General features: G+C 45.5%; 1 annotated feature.

Annotated features, from left to right (window-relative positions):
• Nucleotides 4,613–5,334: an enhancer, noted in NCBI's record as "OCT4-NANOG-H3K4me1 hESC enhancer chr15:90525469-90526190 (GRCh37/hg19 assembly coordinates)". NCBI's record gives its function as "activates a minimal SCP1, AML or CMV promoter by ChIP-STARR-seq in primed H9 embryonic stem cells {active_cell/tissue: H9 hESC(primed)}" and the evidence as "EXISTENCE:reporter gene assay evidence [ECO:0000049][PMID:30033119]".

Genomic DNA, 10,659 nt, shown 5'->3' with positions numbered 1-10,659 from the left:
CCTACAAGCGAGCCAAGGCATGTTGGTTGGATCATTTCTGTTTTCTTTCTTTCTTTCTTTCTTTTTTTTTTTTTTCCTGAGACAGGGTCTTGCTCTGTCACCCAGGCTGGAGTGCAAAGTGCGATCATAGGTCACTGCCACCTTGACCTGGACTCAAGTGATCCCCCTGTCTCAGCTTCCCAAGTAGCTGGCACTACAGGGGCATGCCACCATGCCTGGCTTATTTTTAAATTTTTTGTAGAGATGGGGGTCCCACTATGTTGCCCAGGCTGGTCTCAGACTCTTGGGCCCAAGCCATCTCCCACCTCAGCCTTCCAAAGTTCTGGGATTGCAGGCGTGTGCTAATGGCACAGCTGAATCATTTCTAAGTGTCTAGCTATCACGATATCGTGACTAGTTGTTTTCATTGTTGACTTTAGATATCTAGAAATACAAAGCATTGTCAATTTAAGAGTAAAAAATATGATGCAAATAAGGACAATTATTAACAAAACAATTTGAAATCCAGATTTGAGTAATGTTCCTATTCCTGAAGGTAACCAAATAAATATTTCATCTACTTCTTGTCCTGGTCTGAAGAACAAGGCAGTAAAGACCTCCAGTGATGAAGATGTCCACTCAGGTTCAGCTGCCTGATACGGTGCCTTCCAGTGTGGCTGAAAGTTCTTTATTTGATGTTGTTTTCTAATAAACAAAATCTCCAGGTTGGAGACCATAATGTTTGATGTCTTCATCTTTCAGGAGCTTGCTGTTGCAAGAATCCTTCATTAATTTAGAATTTTTAATGAGAAGCTTATAAGGCCTTGGCAATGAAGAAGAATATCACCTTTAAGGAAAGCTGGTTAGTAGCATGGCCTTCCTGTTTTTATTTCAAAGGAAGAGAGCTGAAGTTTTCTAGAGTAGAATATAAGTTAAGCAAATGGAGGAGCCTTAGGCCAGGGAAGGTTAAAGGTTTCTGTAAGCTTTGCCAGTTGATTGTTGTGGGTTTTTTTGGTCTTCTTTTTTTTTTTTGAGACAGTGACTTGCTCGTCACCCTGCAATCTCTGCTAACTGCTGCCTCAAACCTCCGGGCTCAAGCGATTCTCCCTCCTCAGCCTCCCAAGTAGCTGGGACTACAGGCATACACCACTATACCCGGTTAATTTTTTTTTTTTTTTTTTTTTGGTAGAGATGGGGTCTCACCATGTTGCCCAGGCTGGTCTCAAACTCCTGGGTCAAGTGATCTCTTACCTCTGCCTCCCAAAGTGCTGGGATTACAGGCATGAGCCACCATGCCCAACCTGCCAATTGATTTTTTATGATGTGTGTTTCACCAGTTGTATAATGTCACAAGTTTCCCACATTATCTCTTTCCCCAAGTTTCCATATCCAATCAGTTTTATGTGTCATTCTTTTTTAAAAAATCTCTTCTATTTAAAACAACATTTAAAAACCTCCAGACAAGGCTGGTGTGGTGCCTCCCACTTGTAATTCCAGCATTTTGGGAGGCTGAGATGGGAGGATTGCTTGAGACCAGGAGTTTGAGACCAGTCTAGGCAACATAGTGAGACCCTATACCTACAAAAAAAAAAATTAGCTGGGTGCAGTGGCACATGCCTGTAGTCCTAGCTGCTCAGGAGGCTGAGGCAGGAGGATTATTTGAGCCCAGGAGTTTGAGGCTGTAGTGAGCTATTGATGGTGCCACTGTACTCCAGCCTGGGTGACAAAGCAAGATCCTGTCCCTAAAAAAAAAAGAAAAAAAATCCCAGACAAAATTACTTTTCCTTGAACAAAAACCACACTGTCATGCCTTCTTTACAATCTTCTTTGCCAAAAACACATCCTATTTTTCTGATATGTTCTGTATAAATAATTGCTTCTCTTAGAACTAGTAGTTTTAATTCCACATATTAACTACAATTTTATCTCTTAGTAACCTTAGTTTCTAGTGAAAAACCTATAAGTTATTTTGAACTATTTTATATCATTATTTATAGATGAAAACCATTTCATAACTTTTTAGGAAGATGTTACTTCATTTTTTTTGTTTATTAACCGATCTAAATGTATTTTAGCTTTTCTATACCATATGAAAATGAGATGCTGCCCAGGCATGGCGGCTCAGGCCTGTAATCCTAGCACTTTGGGAGGCTGAGGCAGATGGATCACTTGAACTCAGGAGTTCAAGACCAGCCTGGGCAACATAGTGAAATCTTATCTCTACAAAAAACAAAAAATTAGCTGGGCGTGGTGGTGCATGCTTGTGGTCTCAGCTACTTGCAAGGCTGAGGTGGGAGGATCGCTTCAGCCAGGGAAGTGAGGTTGCAGTGAGTTGGGATTGTGCCACTGCACTCCAGCCTGGGTGACAGAGCAAGACTCTATCTAAAAAAAAAGAGAAGAAAAGAAAGAAATAAGATGCCCAAGTACATAAGCTTATGTTTAATATTTCAGTATTTTAACTTACTTAGAAATGACTTAGACATTTTATGATTACATATTCATTAATTTAAGATAAGATGACTTATAATATACAAGTACCCTCCCCAGTGTCTTCCTCAGTCATCTTGGGTCCCAAGTACCCATGTGGCACCAAGGATGGCAATGAAGGGCGAGCCCATCTCGATCCTGAATTTATATGCCAGGTGTAGAGCTTAGGATGGAGCTGTGAAGACAATGCCTGGAGGATCTGACCCTTTCCCACATGGGTAGGAAACACAGCTGGGCCAGGGAGGACATATTGGGTTTGTCTCTGCCCTGTCACTGGTGGCTTAGGTGCTATAGACATACATATGTCTTCAGGGCTTACTATGGCCACCTGTGTAGAATCCAGACTCTAAAGGTGCAAAACCAAAGACGGAAGCTCACAGTAAGATGTATGCAATGCTTCAGGGAAGCCTAGCAGCCACTCACACAGCTTTAGCTCACAAATAAATCAAGAAAGTATAAAAAAATTACAGAAGCAACAGCTGTATGACCTTAAAATATCTAGCAAAGACAGTAAAACCCGTCCAACCCATAGACCCAGGCAAAAATGTCTTAACTATATTTAATACCGACAATTCTGAAAAATCCTAATTTCATATTACCAACGATTTTAAAACTAGTTTTATTTATAAAAGATGACTAAAGTCACATGAACTTAAAAAGCATTTGGTAGCCAGGCATGGTGGCATGTACCTGTAGTCCTAGCTACTCAGGAGGCTGAAGCAGGGGATCACTTGAGCCCAGAAGTTCAAAGATGCAGCAAGCTATGATCACATCACTGCATACCAGCCTGCGTGACAGAGTGAGACCCTGTCTCAAAAAAAGAAAGAACAAAAGAAAGAAAGAATGAAGGAAAGAAGGAAGGAAGGAAGGAGAGTGAGAAAGAAAGAAAGAAAGAAAGAAAGAAAGAAAGGAAGGAAGAAAGAGAAAGAAAGAAAGAAAGAAAGAAAGGGAGAGAAGAAAGGCATTTGGATTTACGTATTTAATTTATGAACATTCATTTATTACAAGTCAACTTGGAACCATGTAGACAGTATACAAACAAAGACATGTATGCTGTATACATAAAAAATACAGACAGGCCAGGTGGGTGGCTCATGCTTGTAATCGCAGCACTTTGGGAGGCTGGGGCTGGAGGATCACTTGAGCCCAAAATTTGAGGCTAGCCTGGCCAACATAAGGAGATCCCATCTCTACAAAAATAATTTTTAAAAATATCAGCTGGGTGTGGGTGGTGCTCATCTATTGTCCCAGCTACTTGGGAGGCTAGGGTGGGAGGACTGCCTGAGCCCAGAAAGTCAAGGTACTCCAGCCTGGGTGACACAGTGAGACTTTGTCTCAAAAAACCAACAAACAAAAAATCCAAAACAAACAAACAAAAAAAACCTACACAGACACAAAAATAATGATGTTAATGCTTTTACTTAAAGTTTTAGCCATAAAACTGGTAAAACTCACTAGTTTAAAAGGACAGTTGGATTAAATTGTGCCTTGTTAAATGGAGTAAGTTAAAGCTTATTGAAGCCCTTGTCAAGTTTTTGAGAAAACAGAGTAGCAAACTTGCATCTCAATGCACAGAGAGAATTTAAACATTTTCAGGGAGTTTGGGTGTATTAGAAGAAGATTAAAAATGGATGCCAAAGCCAGGTGTGGTGTCTCACACCTGTAATCCCAGCACTGTGGGAGGCGGAAGTGGGCAGATCACCTGAGGTCAGGAGTTCCAGACCAGCCTGGCCAACATGGTGAAACCCCATCTCTATCAAAAATACAAAAATTAGCCGGGTTTGATGGCAGGCGCCTGTAATCCCAGCTACTCGGGAGGCTGAGGTAGGAGGATCACCAGAATCAGGGAGGCGGAGGTTGCAGTGAGTGGAGATCACACCACTACACTCCAGCTGGGCGACAGAGCGAGACTCCGTCTCAAATAAATAAATAAACCCACAAAGACAACTTACCTTCATGCATCTTTCAGTTTGGAACGGGAATTAGTCAGAAATTCAAAGACAAGTCTGAATTACAATCAATAGGAGGGCTGCAATTTTAAAAGCAATGCTACATTATTTTCTGCCAAGAGAGGTGAAACCACCAGCACCTGACAGCCGATAACTGGATCCTTTTGCCCTGAAGCAGAGTTGGAGAAGGCAGAAGTCCTCAGCAGAGCTCTTTTCCTGAATCTTCTGTGTAGAGACAGAGACCAAAGCCCTGATTCTTAAATGAAAGAGAGGGTTTGAAATTACTGGAGTCAAAGGAACACAATAGAGTGAGGCTGGCACCCAGCACTGAGTCTCAGAGGGAACACTGGGTAGTCAGTGGCGGTCACTCTGAATCCTGTGGATCTGTGCCAGATACGTTAACTTACAGAAAGAAACTGAGGCAAATTAATACAAGTAGAGAATTTATCTGGGGCTAGTTTGGAAACTGCAACTTGGGAGCATAGATTCAAGTTGCCCTGAATATACACTCTGATTAGCAGAAGTTACAGGTGGGTTTTGTTGTTGTTGTTGTTGTGTGTTTGTTTGTTTTAGTACTCAGTGGTTATAGCAACTAGTGGGTTTTTAAATGAAAAACAAAGAGGCAGTTCCTAAATTGTTTACCAAGAATTTGCATGAAAATAATGGCAGCCCTGCGCCGGTGGCCCACACCTGTAATCCCAGCACCTTGGGAGGCCGAGGAGGGTGGATTACAAGAGGCCAGGAGTTCAAGAGCAGTCTTGGCAACATGGTAAAACCCTGTCTCTACTAAAAATACAAAAATTAGCCGGGCATGGTGGCACATATCTGTGGTCCCAGCTACTCGGGAGGCTGAGACAGGAGAACTGCTTGAACCTGGGAGGTGGAAGTTGCAGTGAGCCGAGGATGGCGCTGCTGTACTCCAGCCTGGGCGACAGAGTGAGACTCTGTCTCAAGAAAAAAAAAAAAAAGAAAAAAGAAAAGAAGAACATAGCTATTAATTGGCTATACATTGCTCTTTGTATCACAAATTTCAGGAACATGAAGATAATGGGTGAGGCGGCTAGTCAGGAAATTACAAGGGAGAAAAGAAAGAACAAAATGTCATTGAACAATTGCCGCTGGGCATGGGTGACCCCATCCCATGGGCATGGGATGCAGGACTGAAATCCCATAGTCCTGTCTCTCTAGACCTGATAAATTTTGCATACCTCACATAGCTCGGACTGCTCTGAGCTATTTTTCTTTTTCTCACTGGTAAGCCCCTACCATAGCTCCCCAAACTTCATGGCAGCATTTTGTGCACTAGTAACTATTTAATTGTTTATAACACTGTGTGTCCTGCCCCTCTCATCCTGGCTTGCGGTTCCAAAAGGATAGGGACCATATCTTCCTTCAAACCTCCGAGTCCCAGTGCTCAATCAATACTGTGAAATGAATGAATGAACAGACGTGCAGGCTTCAATCGCCCAGTCAAATAGAGACTGCAAAGTTGTTTTCTAATAATGAAGGAACTGGTAGGGGGCGGGATTTGATTGGACATCCAAGCCAGGAAGAAGATGTTCGAGGAAGCAGGGATTCACTGATACAGGGGCTGTGGGGGCCAAGTGGAAGGGAGTATCAGAGTGTAGCAAGCACCAGATTCATAGTTGGTGTCTTGCTCCCGCTCTAAGGCTGGGGTGCTTAAGTGGAGAAAGCTGACGGTGGCAGGTAGTAAGTGCTTGGTAAACGTTGGTCATTAAAATTAATGCAATAGGCCAGGTGCAGTGGCTGACACCTGTAATCTCAGCACTTTGGGAGGCTGAGACAGGTGAATCACCTGAGGCCAGGAGTTCGAGACCAGCCTGGCCAACATGGCTGTATTAGTCCGTTCACACGCTGCTAATAAAGACATACCTGAGACTGGGGAATTTGTAAAGGAAAGAGGTTTAATTGACTCACAGTTCAGCATGGCTGGGGAGGCCTCAGAAAAACTGCAATTATGGCGGAAGGGGAAGGAAACATGTCCTTCTTCACATGGCAACAACAAGGAGAAGTGCTGAGCAAAAGGGAGAAAAGCCCCTTATAAAGCCATTAGATCTCATGAGAATTCACTCACTGTCACAAGAAAAGCATGAGGGAAACCGCCCCCATGATGAAATTACCTCTTAATGGGTCCCTCCCATGACACATGGGGATTATGGGAACTACAATTCAAGATGAGATTTGAGTTGGGACACAAAGTTTAACCATATCAATGATGAAACCCTGTCTATACTAAAAATACAAAAGTTAGCTGGACATGGTGGTCGGCACCTGTAATCCCAGCTACTCACGAGGCTGAGGCAGGAGAATCGCTTGAGTCTGGGAGGCGGAGGTTGCAGTGAGCCAAGATCAAGCCACTGTACTCCAGCTTGGGCTACAGAGCAAGATCCTGTCTCAAAAAAACAAAAACAAAAAAACACCCATAAAATTAATGCAATAACCATATAGATGGAGCTCCTGGGAAAAGCTGTTTCATTTGCTGGAAAAGGGAAGGATGGAAGAATAATCTAAACAAAAACATAGAGAAATGAAAGTACAGGCCAGGCGCGTTGCCTCATGCCTGTAATCCCAGCACTTTGGAAGGCTGAGGTGGGTGGATCACTTGAGGTCAGGAGTTCGAGACCAGCCTGAACATGGTGAAACCTTGTCTCTACTAAAAATACAAAAACTAGCCACGTGTGGTGGCACATGCCTGTAGTCCCAGCTACTTGGGAGGCTGAGGCAGGAGAATCACTTGAACCTGGGAGGCAGAGGTTGCAGTGAGCTGAGATCATGCCACTGTACTCTAGCTTGGGCAACAGATTGAGACTCTGTCTCAAAAAACAAAACAACAACAAAAAAGATTTGTGATTTAGGCAAAGAAATGTGGCCTTATTGTGGGTGGGAGAAGAAGCACAAGGGAAAGGAGAAGGAGGCAGATATACAATCTGCTTGCTTCAGCTGGGCATGGTGGCTCACGCCTGTAATCCTAGCACTTTGGGAGGCTGAGGCGGGTGGATCACCTGAGGTCATGGGTTTCAGACCAGCCTGGCCAACATATTGAAACCCCGTCTCTACTAAAGATACAAAAATTAGTCAGGCCTGGTGGTGCTAGCTACTTGGGAGGCTGAGGCAGGAGAATCACTTGAACCTGGGAGGTGGAGGTTTCAATGAGCCGAGATTGCCACTCCAGCCTGGACCACAGAGTGAGACTCCGTCTCAAAAAAAAAAAAAAAATCTACTTGCTTCATGGGAGTGGAAACTGCATACAGGTATGTCAGAGAATTGTCCTTAGTGACCAATGTGGAGGAGGGGGCAGCTATTCCTAGGGATAGCTTGGTGGCTGCCCCCATACTTCTAGATAGTCTGAGAGAGGAAATGCTGAGTATTGGGAAGCATGAGTTTTTTGTTGTTGTTGCTTTTGTTTGAGACGGAGTCTTGCTCTGTTGCCCAGTCTGGAGTGCAGTGGCTTGATCTTGGCCCACAGCAACCTCTGCCTCCTGGGTTCAAGTGATTCTCCTGCCTCAGCCTCCAGAGTAGCTAGGATTACAGCCATGGGCCACCACGCCCAGCTAATTTATTTATTTATTTATTTATTTTGAGACAAAGTTTTGCTTTTGTCACCCAGCTGGAGTGCAATGGCACGATCTCAGCTCACTGCAACCTCCGCCTCCCAGGTTCAAGCGATTCTCCTGCCTCAGCCTCCCGAGTAGCTGGGATTACAGGCGACCACTACCACGCCTGGCTAATTTTTTGTATGTTTAGTAAAGACGGGATTTCACCATGTTAGCCAGGCTGGTCTCGAACTGCTGACCTCAGGTGATCCACCCGCCTCAGCCTCTCAAAGTGCTGGGATTACAGGCGTAAGCCACTGCGCTGGCCTTTTTTTTTTTTTTTTTTTTTTTTTTTGTATTTTTAGTAGAGATGGGGTTTCACCATGTTGGCCAGGCTGGTCTTGAATTCCTGACTTCAGGTGATCCCCCGCCTCGCCTCCCAAAGTGCTGGCATTACAGGCATGAGTCACTGCACCCAGCTGGGAAACGTGAGTTTGAATACATCTCATCACAGTGATAAAGAAGGCGGGGACATCTTGCAGCAGGTGCAGGTCATTCCTCTGCAGACCCAGCTCCTCAAGTTCACTTCATGCTTTTCTCCTTCTTCTCAGCGCCTCACCTGCCTTCCTTTTGCCACCTCTTGCCCAGGTGCTGTGAGACAACCTCCTGCTCTCCCCTCCCTCCTGTGGAGTCCACTTGTGAGTAAAAAAAAAAATGGCTGGAAACATGGTGGGGTTGCAAAGATTCACATTTTCTTTGTACACCTGTAAAAAGAAAATAGGAGAGGTGTATTCTCCTAGATACACCCATATTATATATATATAAAAAAAAAAGGAAAACCATATCACATGAAGGAAAATTAAGCATTACAAAGAGACCCGTGTCAACCCCCTGAGCCCTTGGACATGCTCAGAAGCCCCCTTCAGATCCCCTCTGGAGCCTCCATCTGCCAGCTCATTCTCATTAATTAAACGTGCTTTTCTCTAGCATCAGCACTCATAACAAATGATGACAGGGTTTCGGATCCCAAATCTTTCTTTTTTTTTTTTTTTTTTTTTTTTTCTGTTTAACAAAGCACATCTTGCACCGCCCTTAATCCATTTAACTCTGAGTGGACACAGCACATGTTTCAGAGAGCACAGGGTTGGGGGTAAGGTCACAGATCAACAGGATCCCAAGGCAGAAGAATTTTTCTTAGTACAGAACAAAATGAAAAGTCTCCCATGTCTACTTCTTTCTACACAGACACGGCAACCATCCGATTTCTCAATCTTTTCCCCACCTTTCCCCCCTTTCTATTCCACAAAACCGCCATTGTCATCCTGGCCCCTTCTCAATGAGCTGTTGGGCACACCTCCCAGACGGGGTGGTGGCCAGGCAGAGGGGCTCCTCACTTCCCAGTAGGGGCGGCCGGGCAGAGGCGCCCCTCACCTCCCGGATGGGGCGGCTGGCCGGGCGGGGGGCTGACCACCCCCACCTCCCTCCCGGACGGGGTGGCTGCCGGGCGGAGAGGCTCCTCACTTCTCAGACGGGGTGGCTGGGCAGAGACGCTCCTCACCTCCCAGACGGGGTGGCGGCCGGGCAGAGGCGCTCCTCACATCCCAGACGATCGGCGGCCGGGCAGAGACGCTCCTCACTTCCTAGATGTGATGGCGGCCGGGAAGAGGCGCTCCTCACTTCCCAGATGGGATGGCGGCCAGGCAGAGACGCTCCTCACTTCCCAGACGGGGTGGCGGCCGGGCAGAGGCTGCAATCTCGGCACTTTGGGAGGCCAAGGCAGGCGGCTGGGAGGTGGAGGTTGTAGCGAGCCGAGATCACGCCACTGCACTCCAGCCTGGGCGCCATTGAGCACTGAGTGAACCAGACTCGGTCTGCAATCCCGGTACCTCGGGAGGCCGAGGCTGGCGGATCACTCGCGGTTAGGAGCTGGAGACCAGCCCGGCCAACACAGCGAAACCCCATCTCCACCAAAAAAATACGAAAACCAGTCAGGCTGAGGCAGGAGAATCAGGCAGGGAGGTTGCAGTGAGCCGAGATGGCAGCAGTATAGTCCAGCTTCAGCTCGGCATGAGAGGGAGACCGTGGAAAGAGAGGGAGAGGGAGACCATGGGGAGAGGGAGACCATGGGGAGAGGCAGAGGCAGAGGGCAGAGGCAGAGGCAGAGCCCCAAATCTTTCTTATTTATCATCCATGGTTGTAAGACTTGCTTTCTGTTTTTTCATTTCAAAAATTCAGCATTTCCACTATATTACACATTAAATAAAAATCTCTTAGACTGGGAATTTGACAATTGAAAATTCCACCACCCTTTTCTCCACATGGGTAAAAAAGGTGCTAAGTTCTAAACTGATTTACAAATGAATTTTTGGACCATAACCTGTCTGTAAGCTATTTGGCGTATCTGTATGTAACCACGTGTTTGTATGTGAATTTGCTTACCCCAAGTGGGGTTTTTTCCTCTCTTTCTTTTTCTTTGCTTCCATCCTTCCTCCCTCCCTTCCTCGCTCCCTCCCTCTCTTCCTCCCTCCCTTCCTTCCTTCCTTTCTTCCTTCCTTCCTTCGTTCCTTCCACATGCAGCATCCGCTGATCTTGCTTCTTTTTTTTTTTTTTTTTTAATTTTTGAGACAGTTTCACTCTTGTTGACGAGGCTGGAGTGCGATCTCGGCTCACCGCAACCTCTGCCTCCTGGG

The sequence above is a fragment of the Homo sapiens genome, chromosome 15 (assembly GCF_000001405.40).
Source record: "Homo sapiens chromosome 15, GRCh38.p14 Primary Assembly".
In the NCBI taxonomy this organism is placed as follows: domain Eukaryota; kingdom Metazoa; phylum Chordata; class Mammalia; order Primates; family Hominidae; genus Homo; species Homo sapiens.
Note: the sequence above shows the minus strand (reverse complement) of the source record. Positions and strands in the feature narration are given on the sequence as shown.